Source organism: Homo sapiens, chromosome 6 (genome assembly GCF_000001405.40).
Source record: "Homo sapiens chromosome 6, GRCh38.p14 Primary Assembly".
Taxonomy (NCBI): Eukaryota; Metazoa; Chordata; class Mammalia; order Primates; family Hominidae; genus Homo; species Homo sapiens.
Window position 1 is genome coordinate 73,123,400 of NC_000006.12, and position 26,313 is coordinate 73,149,712.

At 38.4% G+C, this 26,313-nt stretch overlaps 1 protein-coding gene and 1 long non-coding RNA gene across 10 annotated transcripts in view; one reads left to right on the forward strand and one right to left on the reverse strand.

Annotated features, from left to right (window-relative positions):
• Nucleotides 1-26,313, forward strand: part of KCNQ5 (potassium voltage-gated channel subfamily Q member 5) — a 576,790-nt gene that overhangs the window by 501,336 nt on the left and 49,141 nt on the right. For 2 of the 9 annotated variants that reach the window (NM_001160130.2, XM_047419077.1), the window contains one exon: nt 10,022-10,242. The exons of 1 other annotated variant lie outside the window; for it this stretch is intronic. In NM_001160130.2, coding sequence (NP_001153602.1) covers nt 10,022-10,242 — 221 coding nt within the window. Of the gene's footprint in view, nt 1-1,086; nt 1,114-6,393; nt 6,451-8,744; nt 8,836-10,021; nt 10,243-10,521; nt 10,929-26,313 lie in introns of those variants that run through there. 6 more of the 9 variants (NM_001160133.2, NM_019842.4, NM_001160132.2 and 3 more) reach the window with 6 other exon arrangements.
• KCNQ5-AS1 (KCNQ5 antisense RNA 1) lies at nt 11,404-20,115 on the reverse strand. Its single transcript, NR_046621.1, has 5 exons — nt 20,027-20,115; nt 13,234-13,361; nt 12,168-12,760; nt 11,888-11,953; nt 11,404-11,628 (listed from the first exon to the last, which is right to left on the reverse strand). It is a non-coding gene; the product is annotated as a KCNQ5 antisense RNA 1 (long non-coding RNA).

Here is a 26,313-nt window from a genome sequence, read left to right on the forward strand (position 1 = left end):
TTTTAAAGACATAGTGGGATGCTTTGATTCCACTAAACAGGATGAAAGAGAGGTCTAAGAAACAGCTGTGCAGGGCAGAGAGAAATGGGAGGAGGGACACTCAAACCTGCCAGGGATACAACCAGCAGTTCCTTACTCTCTCTTTTCAGGTCTGGTTTGTCTCTTACATACACTCTAGAGGTCTTAGCAATTCTATTTCAAAGTTTTATTTTAATAACAGAAGGATGTATAGAAGCAAGTACTTTTCTTGATTTTCTCCTCAAAGAGAGTGAAGCTGCAAAGGGCAAAACACAGGTAAATATGCTATTTAGGGAATGAGTCAGAAATTTTATGAGGCTATGGGGAATTATCAAGCTCCAAAAACACCTTGTGGTACCTTAAGAAGTGGGGATTTGGAGATTATCTAACCTAAAGCCTTTGATTTACTCATAAGAAAACCAAAACCTGCAAGCAAATAAGGTGCCTGCCCAAAGGCACACAGCTCGTTTGCAAAGAGTACAGACCCTACACCATGGTGCTTAGACCTACATTTGCTAAAATGAGTTATTACAAATGCCACCCAACAGTATAGGCTAAAAGAGTTTTGGTAAATATTCTATGTACCTTATTTACTCCAAGGAAATTTAGATTTTATACGATACAAAAAAAAATCTGCCTCAGCAAGTGACTGAGATACAATTCATTAATGAATCCAGGTTTAGAAACCAAAGTCTGCCAGATGCACAGAGAACAGTTATGTTGTAACTAGCAACATTCTAAGAGCCCTTGCTAATTCTGGTTAGATCAGAACCACTTTTTCTTAGCCATGGATAGCTTTGGCTAATGAAAAGTCTATTGTTTTTTATTCTATGTGGGCAGTCTTGGCTTTGCCAAGTAAATGTTGTGCTATCTCTGGTCTGTATCACAAAGAATATATGTTAGCAAGTTGAGTACATTTATTATAAAGAACACTGCTTTTGTGGATCTTGCATGAAAAGAGTTACTTAAGGTATTTGATTCCCCAATCTCCAATTTGGCCATTATCAAGTGCTATAAATATATTCACTGGTTTATCATCATTTCTCTTCTGCCTGCACGCACCTGAAGGAAAGAACAAGGGGAAGCATCAAGCAGGTTTGTGATTTCTCTCTTGCTACATGTTTGTTTATAAATCTGATACCTACCAGGTGTTTTAAATGTGTCTCATGTGAGTAAAATCGATCAACAAATACAAGATGATTAAAAGTGACCTTTCACAAGATTGCCTGCAAAGATTGCTATTTTATTGATATTTCGCCCCTTAGTATCAAAGTGTCTTTCCCTAACTCACTCCCTGCTTTTTCAAAATCTGCAGGGCATGGAACATTTGGAGGTGGGGGAGGAGGGGAACTGATCTTGGATTAGTCCTTGCTGTTGTTTTCCCAGACAGAAGTCTTATCAAAGTATTCAAATATGGTAATCTAGAGAATGAAAGAAAGAAATTTTTTTTCTGAATGTAAAAAGTCCAGGCAGCAGTCTAGGATACACTCCCCTTCACTAGGGTCCTTCTTTTGGAGTGATATATATATATATATATATATATATATATATATATATATATATACACACACACACATATATATATCATATACATATACACATACATACATTATATGTATAGGTATATATACCTATACATATAATCTTTTTTTTTGGCAAGATGAAACCACCTCTCTGTGACATCTCCAGATCTCCAGCCCACTGAGTGCTGAGGTCTACTCAAGTGACTCAAAGAGCCCCATCCCCATCTTTTAGGAAGAAGACAACCCTCCCAAAAATTCCCCAAATAATTTATTATCAGTTTCCCATGACTTAGATGGAATGAGTCGTCAGATTACAGCAGAGAATTAAACCTAGAGGGAATACGAGGTGAAAGAAAAATTTCTTGATCTGTGTTAATGAGTACCAGGAAGTGCCTAGATTTGAGAGCAAAGCCCTGAAAAACAGAGCCAGGTGGAACCCAGTATTAATGATGTGAAGAGTGGCAGAGGCAGAACCAGCAAGGAGAATCCCAGGTGCCTGGAAAGGAAGAAGAGATACATTTTTTTTCCTATCATTGTCACTGTGTTTCCATAAAGAAATGAAGGCATCCACCTACCCAGAGTTGGTCCCTAAGTGGAGGCCAGTGTGGGCCCAGGGATTGTTCTTTTAGCTTAGTACTATTATAATAATTATATTAATAATAATATATTTATGCAATACTGAAGCCAGTTTTGAAAGTTCACTTGGTGTATTAAGGCTCTGGATTATCCATTTTTGCATTATGTTTATATGTAAAGATAAACAAATGAAAACATAAATGCATTCGTCTATGATGGGAGATAGGCACGATAGGATATACAACATCAGGCACATCTTCTGCGTAGGTAACCTACCCAAGGGATGGCATTAAAGTTCTTTCTCTTATTTGGTAGCTCTAACTACCAAATAAGCCAAGGGCTTTGGATATTCCTTGGAGATATTTCCAGAAAAAAGTCATTCTTCCCCACCTAAGAAACGTTTTTGACCAAAGAGAGGTTCTAGTCATTAGATTCGGAATAGTCTTTGCCTAGACACTGGAAGAGACAAGCTGACCAATTCTAGACTTTTAGTCCATTTTCTAGATTCCATACAGAGCTCACCATCCTTCTGTTGTGACAATTTTACTTGAAAAAAGTTACACAAAATAAATCATAGCCATTTTAAGGTAGCTTATAGTTGCTTTGGTGATATTTTAAAAGCTTTCATTGTCTCAGGAGCTTTCCATTTACTAATTATCTCAAAGGGTGATCTGCCTCCAAATCCAAAGGACAGAGACCATCTTTGGCACAAATTCCAGAGCTACCTGAGAGTGCGATCACCCATCTTAGATTCATCCTCCAAAACGGAGCTGTTAACACCTAAAAGAGAAGTTTGTAAATGACATGGAGGTGCTTGAATAAGTGTAAACTCTATGGCAATCCTGAAGGAGGGGTCACCTTGGGCTGGCACAATGATATTGTACTGTTTTTAAATGTTAGCACAGCAGAAAACAAAGACAAAATTAAAGTGTCACTGTTGAGCTTCTGCTCACTAGTCCAAAAACAAGCTTCCTATTCAGTTATCACTATTCAAAAAAACTACCAACCAAATTTTCCACATTTATGATGTTCGCATATATCTACGACATTTACCTCTCTGCATGCAGCAGACTGAGGTTGTCAAAGATAACTCACCCATAGGTTTAAATATGTACAAAACCACTGAAGTGGGTTGATGACTTAGAGAATCACACATGGAAATTTCTTGCTTCTCTGTGGTCATTGAACATTTGGCAAAAACCACCTTGAAATAAGTCCTGCACTATTACTTAGCCTAGATTCATTATTTAATATCTTATATTTCATACACTTAGGTGTCCTATCTTCCAACTAGCTGTCACATCACCCTGGGTAAAGCTATTACAGAATGTGCTCAATAAATAATTCTTGGATAGAGTAATAAAATGGCCCTGACCTCAAGTAGTTTGTGGGAAGAGATAAAACACCAACAAAAAATGGGAAGAGAGGAGAAATATAAAAAGAGAAATAAAAAATTAAAAACATTGCAATAATCTAAGGAAAGTAAGCTGAAGCTCCCATTTAATATTATGTAAGCTTTCACCTTGTTGTGCTCCATACACAGAATTTATAATCCTGCATAATGAATGCAGAAAGGCTATTGTAATAACAATAGCAACAGTACCATCTTAGAAAGTAACAAAGTTGTCCTTACCCAAGCAAAATATCACAAAGTAAAATGCATTTATAATGAGAGTTCTTCCTTACAGAAGAGTAGATCTGGGTCCAGAGTATTGTTAATTAATGCTTGACCCCATTTCAAAGGAACTAATTAACACCACCCAACTGCAGAGTAATTTACTGCCTTTGGGACCACTGAGTTATTGATGGTGAGTCAGAAAGGCAGAGGAGACAAGCTTCAGCCCAAGCAGGAGCCAACATTTTCACCTTTTAGCCCAGAGCTTGGAATCTCCTAAGTCCTTCTTCATGGTTTTTCTTTGTGTTACAAACTGAGAGAAACCCAAGTGTAGATGAACTCAACACAGCAGCCAACATCCGCCTCTGGGTGCCTGGCACTCTCACCAAAGGACGGAGCCATGACTGTAGAGTGGGTCATACACAGAGAGGCTTTTCTTTCTGCAACATTGATTAAGATGTCGAACACATTTATAGAACCCTTAGTTAACTACATTCCCGGCTTTGGAATGTTCTTGTTAAAAAGGGATTTTGTCTTTCTACACTGAGGCTAGGGTATGTTTAAACAAAATTTGCCTACGATGTCTTGGGCTAAGGAAAAATGTCACATTATTTATGACAGATCCAAAACTTTTCTTTAAAAATACAATGGCCAAGTGCAGTGCCTCATGCCTATAATCCCAGCACTTTGGGAGGCCAAAGAGAGTGGATCACCTGAGGTCAGGAGTTCGAGACCAGCCTGGCCAACATATTGTGAAACCCCCTCTATTTTAAAAATACAAAAATTAGTTGGGCGTGGTGCTGCATGCCTGTAGTCCCAGCTACCTGGGAAGCTGAGGCAGGAGAATCACTTGAACCTGGGAAGCAGAGGTTGCAGTGAGCTGAGATCACACCACTGCACTCCAGCCTGGATGACAGAGCAAGACTCCATCTCAAAAAATAAAAAATAAAATAAAATACAAGCCATTAATCTGAAGAAGAGCTTTTTAAATATAGCTCAACTGAGCAATAGTGAAAATACTGTTTCATCAGTTCTTTTTGGTACATTCAGGTACAAATTACTGTTAGTCTCAACTGAGCCTGCTGTTTTTTCCTCTACTCCAATCATAAAATACTTCTTTAGCATCATTTAATCACTCATTTCTTTTCCTCTGAATTCCCACTAAAACAGTACTAATCTCATATATGTGGTGGTAAATGTGTTTATTGATTTCATTCTATTAAAAAATTAGTTGGAAAAGTCATTTTTAAAATGGGACAAGTTTTTTTCTGTTTTGATATAAATTGTCATTTTCAGAGAACTGAATTTACCTGTGAATCCATCTGTCCAGAATAAGCCAATATTCTCACCTTGAGGTTTTATGTGGTTCTCCCTTCCTCCTTGACCAGATTATCAAATAGTAGTCAGTCATCACATTGATACAAGAAGGCTTTTCCTTCTATCTACCTAAGTTTTATTGCTACAAAAACAGATTATATTATCTGAGGTTTTGAGATTATCTATACATCTTGCTGCCTCTAGTTACTCTGTCTTCTTAATCAACAATGGTTGGCTATATGCCTGCTTGATACTTAAGCTTCCTTAATGGCAATTTTAAAAGCTTTGCTAGAACCCTTTCAGATTTCTGAGTAGACTAAAGTTGCTTTACCAGGTACCTGTGAGACTGTTGTAAAGATGCATGTCTTAAACGTTAAGGCAAAAATGATATTTTTATATTACATTACACTCTTGTGCTGTGAGCCACCGAGTGCTTTTTCTGAACCACTCCTGTGTGGTTGGCTTTTGGGGGAAGGGGGAGTTCTGAAGCTGTGTGTGGCTCTTGGAGAGAACTCTAGAACCCTGGTGGAAGACTGTGTGCTCTTATATTTTTTCTGCATTTATTTTCTGTTATTTCAATTTTCTTTCTTCTGTGTGCAATGAATGATCTGCATGTGTTGTTAAACTAAACTCAATAAGACTAGATTTTGGTTTTTTTCCAACATAGTCAACTTGTGTCCTTATTGGCAAAATGTTCCATTGTTTCAAAAACAATCTTTCCAAAATGGTCTCTCCTTCTGTTCACATTTATTGATAGAGGAAACGGATTTAGTCTTCTAACAACACATCATAGGACTTAAAATAAGAAACGTACTTTTCTTTCGTTTCTTACAAACCAGCAATCTAGAATCTTTTCTTCTGTTTTGTTGAACATATATTCTGACAATTGGTTACCTATATCAACTATAAATGCAGATGTTTCACACAAACCAAGAACTTACGTTTTCAAATTTCAACAATTAATGTCATGAATTTATTGATTTCTGTAGTTATTCTTTGAAGTTCTAAAGTACGTTATTAATCATTTATACTATGTGTTATTGATATTTATTACAGGGGTAGCTATATTCTAAAGTATTTATTCTTACATGCTAACACAGAGACTATCATCATTTGTATGTAATGCCTAGTTCAAATCCAATTTTTCAACCTAGCCGTTAAGATCACTGGATATCTTTCAAGCAGCACAATTAAACAACATAGTACTCTCTGCTTAAATAGTCTGTGTACTTCTATATTAAAAACAATAAAGCCAAATGGCTTTGTTTTTATAAAAGAATCCCTGAGCACTTTCCTATTCGTGAAATGCTTAGTAATGTGCTGCTCTATTTCCCTCACTCCTAGTAAGTTCTGTAGTAATAAGCAGAAGCTCTTCAGAATGTACACCTCACGGAAGCAGAGGTACCCAGCATCCGGGCTATTGACATGAGATTTGAGAATGCCAACTAACCTCAGGTGCATGACCAGGTTACACCGCCACCCCACCTGAGCCCTGTTCAGAGACTCACTCTTTCTAGGGACTTCTTGAATGAGGTTTTCAACCCGCTTGAAATTTTCCTTGTTGCCTGTTGCCTGCTTTGATACTCTCCACCGCTGGGACAAATAGTCGGCGTCCCGCGTAGAACTGGCAGTCAGCCCTTTGGCGCCTCCTTGTGGTTGGACAACTGCTGAGCTGCTGCACGCACTGGATTGTTATGGCTCAGTTGCCATATTGTGCCTGAGGCGAGAATTTGTAGAATGCTTATCCCATGAAGGGCTAAAACCCTAATTAAGTATAACAATAACTACAGCATTCTAAGTCCCAGAGGATTACTGTGGGGTTATGATGATGCCACACAGTTGCCTGGCAGAGAACAGCCGGTAGTAGACTGCATGCTAGGCCATTTGAATAACCTGTACATCTGGTTCCTAGAGATGAGAGAATTCTCTCTTGCAGGGTGACAGTGCAGGCTCTGCTGAGCATGGTCCTCAGCTGTAACTGTGGGACTGTACCCTAAGAGAGATGCTCCGATCAATGACCACAGCAATTTTTTTTTTACTTTCTGCAAAGCAAGACCTCCTTGTTGGTCTCTTGGGGATAATCCTTGGCATTCTTCCTAAAAATACTGTTACATAAATCTTCAAAAATCATATTCGTAGATGTCACCAAAAAAAAGGCAGGAAAATAATGAAGACTTCAGTGTTTCAGTGAAGAGTCTATATTTTTAATCAATTCAATGTGTGTTTTCAGTAACAGTCACCTGATCAGCTTAATAGTCATCTAATCAAGACGCTGTGTTGATTTTCAAAGGGAAACAAAGTAGAAAAATAATAAAGTGAGCTTTTTGTAAGAGGACACAAGAACAGATCTTTGCCTTGGAAAAGAAAATTTTGCCTGGTTAAAAAGTTCTTGATTAGAATCTTATTCTTAACTTTCATATAATTATGTCAAAAGAGAAAGTGAAAACATTACATTTTTTCTAATTTAACATGTAATATGCCGAGTTTATTTTAAAATAATTCTTGGGAATCTTTAAAATAATAGACATTAGCAAATATCCATGTAGTTGAGAAGGACAAAAGGGAAATGTTACTTAGAATTTATTTTTGTCAACTTTAAGTGCTTTAAATGATACTAAGATTTAGAGAATATTATTCACATTTTCCAATTTATTCATAAGGTAATGTCAAAATGGTTCATAGAGGCAATTTTTAAAAATATTTTTATAGGTATGATTTTTAAAATACTTTTATTATAAACAAACTATGGTGGATTGAATGCTAATACTTTCATTTTGGATGTTTTTACTTTTTTAGTAATTGAATTTTTTTAATTTTTCATATTAAGTGTTTTTATGATGGTTTATCCATTTCTTATGTATTTAGTTGACATAGAAAAGAGATATATCTTGAAAGTTGGAGAAAATAATTTGATATTAACTAAAACCAACCTTTTATAGTAATTAGCATCTGTTAGTTCCAGAAAAGGTAATAGATAAAATCAAATATAGTGAGGACCAATTGTAATGATATCTATGTCAACTTGAGCTATTCATTAATCTGAATAAAGGTGCAGAAGTGAGCATATGCTTCCTGAACTAGATCATTGTAAATTTAAATTATGGAACAGATGTGTTGAAACTAAAAAGAGATTTGAAACTTTTACAATTTAAAAAAAAAAAAAGCTTGAGAAAAGTAGATATTTTTGGGCACCATCCCTTTGACAGATTTGTTTAAATAATTGAAGGCTTTGGGATGACATGGAAAACCTAGCCTGAGAATTAAAAGATGCAGGTTTATGATGTTATTGTTGCTCTTGTTTAATGTAATCTATCATTTAATCACACATGTGTCAAGCACAGATAAACTCTTCCACTGTTGGGATTGTTGTAAAGAACTCTTGAACCCACCTGACCTCATCACCAAACTGCCCCGCCTGTTCTTTGCATGTGCCTTCAGCGAGTCATGCTGGACTTAGCTGTGTCTGCATTTCAGAGGGGAGCTGTCAGTTGCATGGTCAACTTGTTTATTGTTTCCAGAACTCCCTGACCACCAGTTCATGATTTGATTTGTTTTCATGTAAACACACATAAAACGTGGTGCCCTTTTAGAATATCGTTTGTTAAGCAACTAGGCATGGAAAAATAAATGTTACTGTTTCTTGTTAGCTACAAAGCACATATCCACTAAACACATTTGCTGTTGGCATGCTGCAGTTGGGGACAGTGGACATTGCGGTAAGTGGACAAAACAAGGCCTCCACTTCGTCTCAAATAAGCCTTATCCATGAGAACGCTGCTTTCATACCCCACAAAGGCTGCGGCTTTACTCTCTCAGAGTAGCTGCTCTGAGAGACTTCCCTCAGACTCATTGCCCAGGATTTCTTCAGGCCCTGCAGAGTCCTGGGCCTCTCACATTGATGACAGTATCACCTTCTAATGAATGGCATAATTTCACTATAAAGGAAACAAGAAAAAAAAACAGAATGGGTACACAAAGCTTCTTACAGTTCATTTGATTCCCACAAGAATCCCTTAGCTGTGTTGCTATGTTTATCTCCAAGTTAGAGATGAGAACCCTAGCCCCCGTGTGTCTGATCCCAACCTGCCCTTCCTAGCACATCATAGCATATCTCTTGATTAGGAAAGTGTGAAGATGCACTTTGGATTTTATGATTGTTGTTAATGCTTCTTTTATCAGCCCACAACAATTTGATCTTAGCCGGCATCAGAGAACTGAATGCCTGAACAAATATAATTTACCAGTAGCTGCCACAGCAAATCAATAACCTGTTTACTAGCAGGAAATTGTGTTAGTGAACATAACATCTCATTCTCTTCATCAGTCATCACATTCATTATCTGTTGGGGCTGTTCTATCTTGTGTGGTTTTCATCTCACAAGAATGAATGTAAGCATAAAAGAAATCTAATGTTAAGTGTTGTGTGTTTAATATTATGTATGTGGTGCTACCAACTGCTATGAGATTGCATGAATTTATGGATAACATAATCTTGCCTGGAATATAAAATGCATGCCAAATGTAGGTATATATGTAACTGTCATCCCTGTTTACCTGTAGAAATGTCTAGAAATTACAAAGAGATATGCTCCCAAACAAAAAATAATTTTTTAAATCTCAAAAGTTGAGGTTAAAGCTAAAATTACCCAACTGTTTTTCAAGTGAATTCCAAAACAGTTCTTAGTTATCTACAGTGTAATTGTGTACAAAATGCTGTATGACCTCAGTCTTTTCTACAATGAATCCAAGAAGGATGTATGTACCTGTAGAATGAGATTGATCTCGAATGCAAATATAGAGATTAGATAAAGCTCAAATTTTAAATAAGGGAAAAATAATTGCTATGCTCCTACGTGCTGAAAACATCTTGTCTATTGAAATATATGACCACATGAGCTTCATCAAATTACTTACCCAAGCAAAGTGGAAGAAATTGCTTGAAATGGAATAATCATGCCTCTGTTCTCCACAGTCAGAAGCTAAGTTTTAAGGAGCGAGTGCGCATGGCTAGCCCCAGGGGCCAGAGTATTAAGAGCCGACAAGCCTCAGTAGGTGACAGGAGGTCCCCAAGCACCGACATCACAGCCGAGGGCAGTCCCACCAAAGTGCAGAAGAGCTGGAGCTTCAACGACCGAACCCGCTTCCGGCCCTCGCTGCGCCTCAAAAGTTCTCAGCCAAAACCAGTGATAGATGGTAAGCCCTGTTTTTCCATAACCATTTTTAATTGGATAGGCTATAGTGAGTGAGATTATGAAGTAATTAATTCTCCATAGTGCCACTTGAAGAAAGAAGAAAACAACCCCAGAGAAAGAATTGTTTGTTTGTTTTATTGGAAGTTTATTCATTGCCTTGGGCAAATGTACAGAACATAAGTTTACTTTTGGAAACCACTTTGGCAGCTAAATTTACATTCCAAAGAAGCTGACAAAATGTTGTTAATTCTTCACTTGTATCTACAAATTTATTTCTCAGACAAGGGCCACATTAAGATCAATGGGACTGTCATTCTGATGTATTTGTGACGTCTGACCAGCAAAGGTCCAAGACCCAGGGACAACCAGGTGCTTGCTCTGTGAATATCTTGAAACACAGTAAGGAGGATGATCATTTCTGGTCAACAATGAAGGTGCTCTTTCCCTCTCTCACACACTCCATCTACCAGCAAATCAGAGACCACTGCTTATCTTCCTTAGAGAGGTTCCTGTTGAAAGTTATTTCGAAGTCTTCCAATGATAAGTAAAATTCAAGTTCTTCTCCCAAGAGGAATTAACCTATTTTATTTATCATATTATGTAGCAGACATTCACTTGCCAACACATTTTATTGAGTGCCACATAATTTTCATGTTTATAAAATAAAATATTTTATTTTTCATTTAAGATAAGCTTGGCTTTCCTTTTAACTAGGCCCCCTGGGATCTCTTATACTGGGCAAGGAACCAAAATCAAATAGCATTTCCCATTAATGCATAAAAACTACAAAGGCTATCAGTCCTTCTGTTCCCTTTTCCTAAATAACGTGTATTTTCCCAGGCCCTCAAAGCTCGAGGAATAAAATTAACAACCAGGGGTCATAATCACAATGATCTGAGGATCCCTGCAGTGAAGTCCCTGGAACCGCAGTCCACGGGTCCCTCTCAGCTTACTCAAAGGTCCTCAGGGATATCTCTTCCACGCTCAAGTGAGCAACACAAGTCACCTCTTCACGCCTCACTCCACACCCCTGTGGGTGCCATGCTCTTCAGGGCGACCCCTAGTGGCTGCACTGACGTGGCTCCTCCTGGCGGAGCTTGCAGGTCCCATATGGGCGCAAGACGGCTGATCCTGCCATGCTTCCCCGCAGCCTGTCCTGTGCTAAGGAAGGAAAAACCTCCGCCACCAACACGGGACACTCCTCCATCGAGCCACTTGCAGGATCTGAGTCACTTGTGGCACAGCTTTTCAGTGTCCTCTAGTTTCCTCACTCTCCTCCTAGGATTTTGGCTGAAAGCCCTTGAGCAGCTGAGTCAAGAGTTACCAGTGACAGGGCTTTATGTTGCACTCAAAATAGGCTTGCTGAATATAAATGGGTACATCCTTTCTGGAGGGCAATTTGGCAAAATATATTAAAAGTCTTTACATATGTCTAAGCCTAGACACATCCCACCTACCAATTCTATTTCTAGGATATAATAGATACAATGAAACAATGTCAGGCATTAGAAATGATGCTCTAAATTAAAAATTATTGACACAGAAAGATGATAACAAAAAAATCATTCCATTTATATATATTATATAAATTCATGTATCTATAGGAACAAGTCTGGAAAGATTTACAAGAATGTGTGAACAGTTACCTTTGAGTGGTGAGATCACAGTTATATTTTGTTTCTTCATTTTTTAATCTGTATTTCCTAATATTTCTACAATGAACAGGTAAAGCTCTTGTAATAAGAAGGCAATAAAGGATTTTCTTTTTTAAAAAAAAAAAAGCCCTCAGTTTAGAAAAACAAAATGTTAGGGGGAAAAAAAGAAAAAAAAAACTAGCCCTTCAAGAAAAAAAATTAGCCCTTCCTTTCACACACTGCCCTCTCCCCTGCCCCTACTCTAGGGGCCCTTGCCCTGACTGTTACTCACCTAACACCTTTCCTTAAGCTGATTTCCTCCCAAGTGGTAGAAGGAGCAGCTTGTCTTAATGGTGGGAACCAGTCTTTGTTGAGTGCAGACATAGACTATGTAATGATGTTTAATAGCTTCTACTACAAATGGAACTTGTATTAGTTTGCTCAAGCTGCTATAACAAAGTACTAGATGCCTTAAACAACAAAAATTTATTTTCTCACAGTCTAGAGGCTAGAAGGCCAAGTTTAAGGTGTCAGCAGGGTTGGTTCCTTCTGAAGGCTTTCTTCTTGGCTTTAGATGGTCTTCTCCCTGAGTCTTTACATAGACTTTTCTCTGTACCCAGCCATGTGCAAATTTCCTCTACTTATAAGGATACCAATCATATTGGATTAGGAGCCACTCTAATAACCTCATTTTAATTTAATAACATCTCTAAAGACCCTATCTCCAAACAGTCGCATTCGGAGGTACTAGGGGTTAGGACCATAACATATGAATTTTGGAGGGATGCAATTCAGCCCATAGACAAAGCTCATGCTCACCCACATCACAGCATCCCTGGAAAGCTGAGATGTGTCCATATCTTCATCCCCGGCCCTGGTTTCACACTGCATTAGAAATCATACATTACATATTGCAATGGATCCATATTCTTCTAACATGTGCTTCAAAAAGCATTCAACTTTGTAGTGTAAGGTCCTTACTGTTGGCTGAGCATATTTAAATAAAAAATTCATAGAATCTGGATTTTTAATTTGGAAAACAAATTCTACTTGTACTGTTTGGCCAGAGGAAAAGAATTTTTCACAGTATCTAGAGTCACCACTATCTATCACAATATTTTCAGTATCTGCAAAGATGTCTCAGAGGTACAGAAACAGAAGTCCTATTCTCTACCAAATCACAAATTGGAGAGGTCTCCTGTCATCTATTTTCTAGGTCATTTCATACGAGTACAGTTTTGTTTGTTTACAAAAGAATTGCTTCTCCCTTGTTGATGCCCATTCAATTAATTCTGAGTTTCCCAAGTGACCAGAGGACCAATTGCTGTTCTGTTGAAATTACTTTGTTGGCTACCCACCTGCAAGAGATAGTAGCTCCTGCCTCCTCATTTAATCCAATAGTCCAGAATCTTTACCTCTGATTGAATTCAATGTTGCGTCTTGGGAAACTGGAAGTTCTTTTTTTACAAGAAAAAAAATTAAGTAGCTGTCAAATAAATGTAGACTTCAGTTATACATCTTTACTTATAGTACCTCTTTAGGTTTTAAGTATTTCTAAAATCATCTACTTACTACCATAGAAAATAATATATAACACTTATAGCCAGTTTTCAATTATTCCAGGTCTATTTGCCCATTCACTTCTGGGGCTGTTTTCTTCTCCTCTGCTCTCCTCACATATTTTCAGCATTCCATTGCCCATTAACATGCTCAGGAGAATAGACAAATAAAAGAAAGAATAATGGAAACTCAGATCAACCTTTAAGTTAATAACAAAAAGTTATATTTGGAAAATAATAGACTTGCAATTGAAAGATAGTATAATAGAGAAAAAAAAAATATTCAGGGTTAATCTGTAAATTTTAATAATTCCTGACAAATCTGATACTCTTTACTACAGACAGTAGTGTTTTCATAATTTAATGACTCTTTAAGAAGGTTATTAAATATCCATGGCATTTTTCTCTTGCTATAATTTTTAATAAGATTAATATGTTACACTTAAAAAGGACGCAGTTGTCTCTCAATATTCCATACTTGTGTGTACCAGAAAAGTAGAAAGTAGCAGGCAGATGCTGAAGCCACAAATGACAAACGAAAGAAAGTAAACTCTAAAGGACTGATGTGGTGTTATCATACCAAATTTATTTTGACTGCTATGATATGAATCATATTTTTAACTGATAAATTCTATAATAAAAGATAGAAATACTCTATTCATTGACAGTATGTAACCCTCTTCACATAATTTTAGAAATTAGGTAATATAGAAATATTTTTGTCAAGTATATGAGTAATAATAATGATAAAACGAACATGTATTGAATTCTTCCCATTGGCATGTGTTGTTCTAAATTCTTTACCTCTATTATTTTATTTAATTCTGTCAATACCCCTATGGAGTAGCTGAGGTATTATCCCCATTTTATGGATGAGGAAACTAAGAGTTGAATCTAAGTAACTTGCCCAAGGTCTAGCAGGTATAAGTAAAGGAGCCACCATGCACATGCAGGCAATTGAATTTCACGGTCCTCCTACAAACGTATTCTAAGATGTTCTCCTAGATATTATATCAATTTCCCTTTAAGAATCTTTCATTTCTTCCCCTCCCCCAACCCCCACCACCCTCTTCTTGCCGCTGCTCTTCCAACTTCAATCGGTCAGATTCCCCTTCCCATATAAGCCACTTGACCATGACCATGCCACTATCCCATCTTTCTCCCAGCCTCAGCTGCCAAACCTCTCAACTACATCATCTCAAGGCAGCCAGAGCTAGAAGATTAGGCAAATTGGGGAAATGGCCTTTCAATGACCGTTCTCTGTTTTGATCAAGTATCTGGGAAGAGACTCAGGATAACAGCCATACTGGTCTGTGTCTATTTTCCCTGGAGGGAGGCCAATGGTAGGGTCATCTGAGGCCTGTTTCAAGATGCAAAAGATAGTGTCAGAAGATGCACAGGTGTTGCCAACAGACAAGCAAGTGGAAGGTGGCAGATTGCAAGCGAGAAATGGAGCAAGCAGCCAAAATCCACAAGAATGATACTAAGGTAGAGCTAGGAGAAAATCTTCGGATTTCTGGTGACTAGTTTGCTACGAAGGAGTCCTACACTTACTGAACCCCACTGCATTTGGGAGTGCCTTACAGAATTGCAATCAAAGAGTACAATAACCTGGACAGTGAAGGAGAAGGACGTAGCTTTAGGGAGCTCCACCTTACAGTGCTTGATATTAGCTAAACCCAACGTTCTGTAGTAATTAGCATGTTCGTTCCAGAAGTGGCAATAGATCTGAAAATCTGTCTCACATACATGTATAACCATGCATGTTTTAACAAGTCTAACATTGTTTCTGCTTAAGGAGAAATTACCATTCCTGCTGAGCAATCCTCAGTGCTCATGTTAGCTGCCATGGAAGGTACATCCTCATCAGGTGTTTATGGGAAAAACTGGCACAGCCTGGGTTCAGGAGATGTTTAGGGTTCACCAGGGTGGGATCTGGGTGAGATGAAGATGCAGAATATCTTCCGATTGTGGGGGTCCCTCAAGGCTAGTGCCTTTGTTCCAGGCACTGATGGTAATTCCTCTCTCTTCACTACCCTTCATGTTCCTTTCTCCTCTCAGCCAGTGTACCAATTAGGATGCATTTAGCAGCAGGTCACAAAAGAAGCAGATTCAACTACCTTAAACTATAATGCAATTTATAATACCACATAGAAAGAGGCTCAGAGATAAGACAGCTCTCCACAGAGCCTCAGGGCTCTGGCTTCATTTCTCTGATTCTCTGAGTCTTCTTTTGACTTTTTCCATCTGTCTGCCTGCCTCCTCCTCAGGCTGGAAGCAAAATGGCTACAGCAGTTGCAATATCTTCTATAGATGCAACACTTTCAGAGGCAGAAAGAGGCCATCTTATGTTTGTATCTCTTCTTAAAAGTGAGGAGAACTGTCCATTCACATCTTATTTTGCAGAATCCTCATGCCTAAAACAATCACCAGCATGGAGGATGGGACCGCCATCATTGGCTGTCACCAGTCAGGACCCAGCAGCTGGATCTCGGCCAGACTCCCCTAAAGCACATGATCAAGTGTGGGGGGAAGTAGCTGGATAAATTTAAGGATTTAGGTTTGGGGATTGCATTTGGGGAAAGCAACTTTCCATAGTATAATATTTGATATAGCCAAGAAACCTCTTCCACTTTGGGGTGAGGGTAAGGAGTCAGCATGTCCTTAAACATGGTGCTTTCTCTCAAATATTCTGTCTATATGTCATTTCTGTTCCTCTAAATGTCCGGGCTTTTAAAAACATAAAAGCCAGATTTATAATTTTTTTCACTTTTCTCTCATCACATCATTTCCATGAAACAACAAGCATAGACTAGACTGTCTCCTTGAATTTCAAATGAAAGGCAAAGTGGGTAAAGGAACAACTAGCAAAAATAAATAAATTAGTATTTCAATCATATAATCCTTCCTCACATACAGTCAGCCCATAAATGTTCTATCACCACCACCACTAAGGGAAAACTGGTACAGTTCCCTTCCTCTCCACCTCCTCAGCAGCTTCCTGACACCTCGCTCCTCAAGCTGTTTCTCTTGGTGACTCCTTCTTCCTTCTGAAGTTAATAACTAACCCAGTCTCACCTAAAAATAGCAAAAAAGTAGAAATACACCATGTGGGGTGCCAGAACCCTCAAGTCTTCTTAAAGATAGTTCATCCCCTTCCTCTCTTCTCTTAACTTCTACCTAGGTTCTAGGCCCACCAGTCTACCACAACCCTTGTTTGAAAATATCAAGATCACTGAAAACAGTGACAAAAAGGCAGCATTTTAATGCAATGGTTTTGACAACTATCCTGAACTAACAGTCTCTTGTATCCATAATGGCCTATTTTCTTCCAAGCAGTATAAATCACAGACTATCAGTATTTTCTATTTGACTAATTTATGCACACGAGCTTTCATCTTACACTAATCCTCTTTTATGCTTATTTTCCAATGGCATCTTCCTCCCTCATGTTTTTCTCAGTCTCCCCAGTTGACATTTTTGGTGTTTCCACAAAATGCCAAGCACCACGCTGCACATAGCATTTTTCCTGACTTTCCATAATGATGGCCCAACTTCAGCCAGGCCTTGATTATAATTTTCCACATGATGCTTCCTGGCACTTTCTGAAATTGCCTGATAATGACTCTGCATTGTGTTGACAGAAATAATTCTTGTTAAAGCAGTATCCTATTAGGGCTTCCACTTAACCTGTTTGTGCAGATTTCTGGCCTGGGATTCTGACTGAGTAGGGCACCCATTCCTGTCATCCTCTATTTGTAACAAAATCTGAGGGTTTTCTTTAATGTTAAGAACAAAAGGATTTATTGAGAATGACTGGATCTAAACTCTAGAAATTTATTCTTCATATTTAACTCTATATTCAGCGTAATTGTTGGAGTAATTCTATGCAAAACCCTACAAAGGGTATTCAGTAGGATTCTAAAACGCACTTTCAGTACTTCCTTAACTTATTGGTAAAAACCATTACCTGAAGAAATTGTCTCAATTCTGATCCATAGGTGTCTTTTTTCTTTAGTTGTCCAGGTTCTTTATTCAGTCCCTCAGGCATCTTCATTCAAAGACATATCCTACTCCTCTGCTGTGTTTCATATGTACTCTTGTCCCCCTAAGATCTGCTTCTCCTATTGGGTGGAGAGTGACCTCTCAATCTCTGGTTTCAGACCCCAAGTGACTACGTTATTTCTTGGATTTCTGAGAAGAGTTGTGTCTTAGTTTGTTTGGACTGCTATAAAAAACATACCATAAACTAGGCAGCCTATAAACAACAAATATTTACTTCTCACAGTTCTGGAAGCTGGAAGTCCAAGATCATGGTGCTGGAAGATTCTGTGTCTGGAGAGGGCCCACTTCCACGTGATGGAAAGGGCGAGGTTCCTCTTGGGTCTCTTTATGAGGGCACTAATCCCATTTATTAGGGCTCTGCCCTCATAGCCTAACCATCTCCCAGAGCCCCCACCTCTTAATACTATCACTTTGAGGGTTAGGGATTTAACATATAAATTCTGGGGGGACACAAACATTCAGACCATAACAGGTTGCTTCTTCCATTACTTTTTGTGAAATGCTTGTTCTTAGTTTTTAGTGACGGGGAAATGCTTTTCTATTTTGATAAGACTGAAGTTCCACCTGGCTTTCTACTCTAATCCAAGTGCTCTTTGTATTATAGAACAGGATTTCTGTCAGATTTCTCTAGGTTCTGTCCCATGGTTTGTTGTTACTCTACAGTGATAAGGAAAATTATATTCTGTTTCTGTTGGTGGATAAAATAGCTTCCTGCTTGAGCTCTGAATGGATTTCATCTCCTCCCTTCCAGCAGAAACTGAGCTGCCAAATGACCTTCGAGTGCTGCCTTAACCATACCTTTTGGCTTCTGTAGATCCAGGTTTCATTGAGAAACCCAGGGTTATAAACTGGAGCCCTATATTTTGTTTCATCAGCAAAGTGTGTGTGCATGTCCACATTGATACTTTAAAATGAATCTGAATGCTGTATTAGTTATCTATTGTTACATAGCAAATTACCCTCAATTTAGTGGTTTGAAATAACACATACTTATAATCTCACAGTTTCTATGGTCAGGTATCCAGAAGCAGTTTAGCTGAATGGTTATGGCTCAAAATCTCATATGAGGTTGCAGTCAAGCTCTTGGCTGGAGATGCTGGGAGAGGACCCATTACCAAGCTCAACTGAGCATTTGCTAGCAGGCCTTTTATTTCCTTGCCACATTATTCACACCCTAGGTTGCCTGAATGTCCATATGACATGCAGCTGGCTTCCCCCAGAGAGAGCTGAGAGAGTACGCAGAGAGAAGCTGCAGTCTTTTATGACATAAGCTCAGAAGTGTTATGCCATCGCTTCTTTCATGTGTAAGTGGTCACAAAGACCAACCCTGTACAGTGTAGGCAGGGACTATACAGGGGGGTAATACCAGGAGATGAGGGCCACTGGGGACCATGTTAGAGTCAGGCTACCACAAATGCCTTCAGATAGATTATGTCTTTTAAATTGCAGATTTCAACCAGTCCCTATTGTCTTTCCAGGAACCCAAACCACCAATTCCCCATTCCTTTCGACCTCTCCGTTACCTACCTGCCTTTAACGACATGGGTTTATAACTTCTGGTCTAACCATTTTATGTCCAGTATCCTTTGTATTATATCTCAAAAAAAAAAAAAAATCCTGGCCTCAACCTATAGCTACGCAATTATATTCCACTCTTAGTGCAGACTCTCAAAAGGAATATTAACAAAATATTGAGTATGTGATTACTGCAGCAACAAGTTAAATAAAATGAGGAGGCCAGGTGCGATGGTTCATGCCTGTAATCCCAGCACTTTGGGAGGCTGAGGGGGATGGATCACCTGAGGTCAGGAGTTCGAGACCAGCCTGGTCAACATGGTGAAACCCTGTCTCTACTAAAAATACAAAAATTAGCCAGGCGTGGTGGCGGGCACCTGTAATCCCAGCTACTCAGGAGGCTGAGGCAGGAGAATCACTTGAATCCAGGAAGAGGAGGTTGCAGTGAGCTGAGATTGCACCCTTGCACTCCAGCCTGGGCGACAAGAGCAAGACTCCATCTCGAAAATAAATAAATAAATAAATTGAGGGAGCAGGACATGAACTAGTCAGTTGCAAAACCAAAGTGTCATAACTTCTAACGCAGCTCTCTTTCTTGTACAATGTATGGCCCCTCTTCAGCTTTTCAAGAGGTTGAAGATATGTTCTTGGTTGCTTCAAAGGGCAGAAGCAGAACTAAAAGGTGTGTGATACCAATATTTAGTTCAATATAATGGCAGCTTAGCACTTAGAGACTCCACAGCAATTGAGTGGATTCCATAATTGGAAGCATTCAAATCAAAGTTGGATGATCAACAGTCAGGAATTTCTGGAAGCTTAAGGAGATCAAACCAGAAAACCTCTAAGAAATTTTCTTCCAAATCTGAGTTTTTATAATCTGCTCTTCTGGACCAATGCAAAGTATCTTCCTTAGCCATTAACTCGTATCCTCACTAGCAATTCTATACTAAGAAATAGAAGAGGAAAGCAAGGATTGGCTGAGGAATGCCAGGAGTGAGTTTTCTGTCCTTACCCTAGTTTCACGTCTCTTTGATACCGAGAAAAGTGCTACCCGCTGCTTCTTGCCTCTCATTCCTCCCACTGTTTCTTTTCCACTTTCACTGTCAGCCATAGTCCTTTCTGTCCTAAGAAGTGTATCAGGTGTGTCCCACCCACCATTGTGAGGTTTATGTGTGTGCTCCATAGCGGCTCATTCTTAGAACTTGAATAAGCCCTCCACTGGATTTCAATTCATATCAGAAGGTATTTGAGGGCTGCTACTCAGAGCTAGCATGTTTCTGGGCATTTAGAAGGCAGGGAGGAGGCGTGACAACTGTCACCCCAAAGAACTTACTGTTTGTCTGTAAGTTTTACCACCCCAGCCCACCTCAGTTACAGTATTGATTGGCACTGAGGGGAACAAAAGGCACCTTCCTCATTCTTCAGACTTCATAGTTTTCAGAAATAACCTGTGGGTGACGTCCAAAATTCGCACAAAATAAGCACAAAATTAACCATTACACAAATCACAGAATTTAGCCCATATTTAAGAGAAGCACTTTTCAGCTGCATGGTGATTTTTCCTTCATATATCTCAAATTATTTCCTTCAAAGTCACACTTAGTTGTCTGCTGCATAAACAGAAACCAATATGACACAATTTTAAAATTATATTTAATCGCTTTCATGGTGTGCTCTACTTGGTAAAGAAGGGGGGAAACAAGGTTAAGTAAAGGCCAGGATCCTTTTTCTGCAATGGATGACTGACATGGGAAAGAGATGAGTTACCCAGGCTTTGCTTTTTGCTACCTGCAGTATAAAACTCCCTGACATTGTCCCAAATTGCTTTTACAGGTATTTTATTTTCAACATCTAATTTGTTCGGCTTTTCTTCCCTTGCCATCTTTTTCTTCTTTTGCCATGTATAATGCATAACAACAATTTCTGAACTCCAAAAGCATAGAAACCTCAGAATAACATTACCTGGGAAAAATTAATCTCTCTACCTCCAGCTACCAAGAGAATCATTTGCACATGAAACCCTGAGATTTGCGTCTTTCATTAATCTAATGCAGTAGCAATTGTTATACCACATCGTTCTATTGGAATTGATGACTAATCATTCCCAAAACTCTTTTGAAACTATTGTTCCCATAATTTTGTGTTTTGATTGAAAAATGTCATGACCCTATATCTCTTCATGTTATCTGTTGCATAGCTAACCCTCTCCCTCAGATTTAGTGGCTTAAAACAGCAACCATTTGTTTAGCCCACAATTCTGTTAGGCAGTTCTTCTGGTCTTAAGTGAACTGACTCATGCTCTGTGTTCAGCTGCTGTGTTGGCTGGTGCTGACTGGACTAAGGTGGTCTCAGTTAGAATTACTGCTCTTTGCTCATGTGGTCTCTCATCCTCCAGCAGGCTGGGCTGGTTCACATGGTGGTGGTGGGTTCCCAAGAGCAGTACATTGATATCTGAAGGCCTCTTGAAGTTCAGGCTCAACCTATCACAGTATAATGTCCACTATGTCCTGTTGGTCAAAGCAAATGGCAAGGACAGCCCACATGCAAGAGACAGAGAAAGAGATTCCACCTCTTCATGTGAGAAGCTGCAAGTGTCGTGGCCAGTATTGCAATCTACCATCCCAGCCATTTAAAGCTTATTTGCTTTTAGTATTTTCAACATCCTGTTGGTTCTATGAAGACAGTGTCAGTGTCTAATTGACTTTTTTATTTCTCCCTGTAGTATCCTTCACTCAAAGAGCCTAAGAAAGAAAAGGAAAATAGCATTGTTAGCACCTCATGTATCGAGGCATTGGCTAGACATTTTCTATGAATTGGCTCATTTAATACACACATAGCCATTTTGCAGATAAGGAAATTGAGACTCAGAAAATGTAAATAACTTGCCCACATAATTCAGTCTAAATGCCAAAACTGGGGTTTGAAGTTGCACTTAGGTCTAAGTTCAAAGCTTTTTATGTTCTACCATGCATGCTGCTTAGCATGTTTTCTTTCATATAATTCATGCTGCTAATGAAACAGTATAAACCAGCTGTATGTTAACTGCTAGTGAAATGATTTATTGTCTTCTTTTTCAGTAAATATGGCAAGTCTGCTCAATTTATTCCCTTTATCATTGCATACACTACAAATATTCTCTCCCTATACCTTCACATGTCAATTAAGGTATGCAACAGTAATTTCCATTTTTTTTAAACAATGCTTATGTTACCATCTCTAGACAAGTTAGTCCAGATGATTTTGGGGTTAACATGTTGGCATTTCCTGGCACTATTACTGCTAGCTGAATAAGAGTTGAAAGTTGGGGAAAAATTTACCAGATCTGTATTAGTTTTTTCGCACACTGCTATAAAGAACTACCTGAGACTGGGTGATTTATAAAGAAAAGTTTAATTGACTCACAGTTCCACAACCTGTACAGGAAGCACGCCTGGGATGCCTCAAGAAACTTACAGTCATGTCAGAAGAGCGAAAGGGAAGGAAGCGTGTCTTTACGTGGTAGCAGAAGAGAAAGAGACAGAGAGAATGAGAAAGTGAGAGTGAAGGGGGAAGTGCCACACTTTTAAACCATAATCCACCCCCATGATCCATTCACCTCCCACCCAGTCCCTCCCCCAACATTGGGAATAACAACTCAACATGAGATTTGGGTGGGGATACAGAGCGAAACCATATCAAGATCTATTTAGAATTCTCCAGCAGATTTGATTAACAATATAGATTTGTGATTCTGCAATTTGTAGGGTCATTATAAAACATGGCTGCCTTGATTGCAATCAGATATCTCTGAATATGGTTCAAAGGAAACAGATCTCGTTCTTGTGGAGATAGGATTACATAACTCCCTCTCAGTCATTTTGCCATTGATTCAGAATGTTTCTCCCTAAGATGAAGTACTGTTTTAGCTTAGAATGGTAACAGCAATTCATCACCAGGCACAGTGGCTCACACCTGTGATCCCCACACTTTGGGAGGCCCAGGCCTGTGGATCACTTGAGCCCAGGAGTTAGAGACTAGCCTAGGCAACATGGCAAAACCCCATCTCTACAAAAAATGTAAAAATTAGCTGGGCATGGTGGCACAGGCCTATAGCCCCAGCCACTTGGGAGGCTGAGAAATGGGAGGATCTTTTGAGCCCAGGAGGTTGAGGCTGCAGTGAGCCATGATCGCATCACTGCACTCCATCCTGGGCAACAGAACAAGTCCCTGTCTCAAAAAAAAAAAAAAAAAAAAAAAAAAAGCAATTCATTGATCTCATCTAGTTTGACTAGTTCAATTATACATGTGAGAAGGCTATCTGAGATGATGTCAGGTGTGGAGCAGTGACTATCCCAGTGATCTGAATGTGATTGACCACTTGGCTTCACCAGGATTATCTCACTGTTTGGTTCTAATAAAGGCAGTCATTCTAGTCTATGAGTTTACCTCCCTTTTGCTACAAACACTTCAGTGATATACTATTGAAACTATAAAAATCCATAAAAATTGGTTTTTGTATGTGAGTTTTAAAAAATTGTTTTCACCAGGCTGTGAGTTTTATGTCTTTGTTTTCTATTGGGATACTAATAGTGCTATGACTATAGTATGTTCTCAAGGAAATTCTTATGAAAATTGAATTAATCCGACACAGTGCATGGTTTTGGAGTAAAACAGAACTTGTTTTAAATCCTAGTTCCCCCACTAGGTTGGGTGAGATGAGACAAACGACTTAACCTCACTGCCACTTTAATTTGTTCTCTCTCTCTCTTTAGGGTGGTAGAAATGATACCTACCTAATAGGGTTACGTGAGTAATAATAAGATATAATGTGTGTAAAATTCTTGTACAATGCCCAGCACAGAATAGGTGCTCAATATATTAAATATATTGTTATTATTTATTAATTAATTAATGCTGATTTCTGCATTAATTTTGACTAATTGAAATCCTGGACTTGCTTAATTTGCATGTATTTGTCTTCCCTTCTTCCAGTACTTGATGGCAATTTCTACCTGTGGTAAATGGAACGTTAAAAGTTATATGCTTATACAAACTTTAGTCCTTTATTCCTTGGAGTGAGTTTTAAGAGTCCTCATGTTGAATAATTCATGTAATCACAGAAATAATACTATGTATCAGGGACCGCTTCCTTTATTAAAGATAAAGGCAGTGGAAATACTGCCTTTGTCAGAAATACTTCAGTTACTCTGAGAGAGAGAGACATTTGTTTACTATATGACAGCACAGTGCATGGCAAATAATAGAAGTTTGGAAAATATTTATTTTGAATGAATGAATAATGAACACATTGTGAACAAATAAATGGTTTACTATTTAATTATTCAGGAATCAATTAAGCTTTATTAATAAAAATTGTTTGGGGGTTTTAAAAAGCCCACACACAAATGAGAGGCATCACAGAGGCAAACGGTATGACATTATTAAAATCGTTATTGCTGAATCACAGTTCAGCAATAAGCAAGTGTTTGAGGCATTCAAATAAGTGAGTATTTGAGTGACTCTAAGAAGATAATGAAACTCCTCCACTGTTTTACAGTTGCAATAATTTTTAAGGAACATATAAAAACATATTCTAGTGTTTCCATTTGAATAAAGATAGTATATATAACATATGCAATTAAAAAGAAGAAAGAAAACAAATTTTAATGTGTTTTTCTTTTCACCTTATGGGCAGTTACTAGATGTATGATCAGCAATTTTAGCAGTAGAGACCTTATTAATTGTTTTTGAAAACTCTCTAGTGCTTCACACCGTCACTCAAAACAGAGAAATTCCTTTTAATTAAATGTCAGGAAGTATTCCAAGAAATTTTGCCAGCATTTCTGCTAGCCAGTAAGTAAGGTTAATTGACAATCTTTAAGAGAGAATCTTAGAGACATTCATATCATAATTAATGTAATTTAAGATGCTGAGGATGCATGAATTACCTACTCAGTGTAAATGGGGTCTTTGATTGTGAAGAGAAATACTCAAGTGCAGTGGTATCTTACAGAATAGATTCCCTCATTAGTGTGAATTAGTGTTTCTGAATGTTGCTAATTAGCAAGCCTGGGAACAAACACAATGAAAAATCAAGTTTACCAAATCACAAAAAAAGTACTGGTTAGCATATTTGGTAAACATGGGTCGATAATTATTTTGATTGAATCTCCCAGCAACCTAGTTTATTGTGGTTGCAGGCCCTGTGCACAGTATGTTTTACCTGCCATAGGTATAATCAACCATATACTAAAAGTTTGTAATGACTGTTGAGATCAAAAAGTATTTCAGAAAGTCACTGAGAATATAGTTTTCTGAGATAAGGAGATGATGTTCTATTTCTGATGTGACTGTAAAAAGGCATAGAACTTAAGTGAGAAAACAACAACAGTGCCTCTCATTTTCCCAGAATTTATTTCAACTGGCTGTTGAGCCTGCCCTTGCTCTCTTAGGACTCATGTTACGTAGAAATGCAGACTGTGTGCAGTTCTGGTCACCTCCTAGGGAAGCACTGAGAAGGGAGCAAGTAATAAACCTCAGGAAAAATAGTTTTTTGTTTTTTGTGTCAAAGAGCAGTGGGTGATGGTTTTAAACATCTGAGATAGAACTGGTGATAAAGAAAAGTTAGGAAAGAAGACATACTGAAAAGTAAAATTGAGGGATGTGAACCAGGTAGAAAATACTGTATCTACCATGCTTTTCAAGCTATGGTAGAGTGTCATGAAATCAAATGAATGGGTTATGATCAGCATTCTTTTAGTGAAATGAAACAAGATGGGATGAGAAGTTATGGAATGAGATGGGCATATCTGTTGTAAAATGGGATAGGATAGGACAGAATAGGAAATACATATTATAGAATGCATCACAAGTAATAAGAGCCAGTGTCATTTCTTGAGCCTTTTAGGTTTTACTCAAAGATTTTTGGTTTTACCAAAGTGGTATATGTATACCTGGTTTTAAAGGTCAAGTAATAAAGATTAACACAAAATGAATCACAGATTTAAATATAAAGCATAAAGCTTTTAGAAAAAAAGTAAGAGAAGATCTTTGGGATCCAGAACTCAGCAGAATGTTCTTAGGCTTGACAACAAAGGCACTACCCATAAAAAGAAAACTGATAGGCTGGGTGTGGTGGCTCACGCCTGTAATCCCAGCACTTTGGGATGCTGAGGCAGGCAAATCACGAGGTCAGGAGTTCAAGACCAGCCTGGCCAACATGGTGAAACCCTGTCTCTACTAAAAATACAAAAAATTAGCTGGGCGATGTGGCAGTTGCCTGTAATCCCCGCTACTCAGGAGGCTGAGGCGGAAGAATCG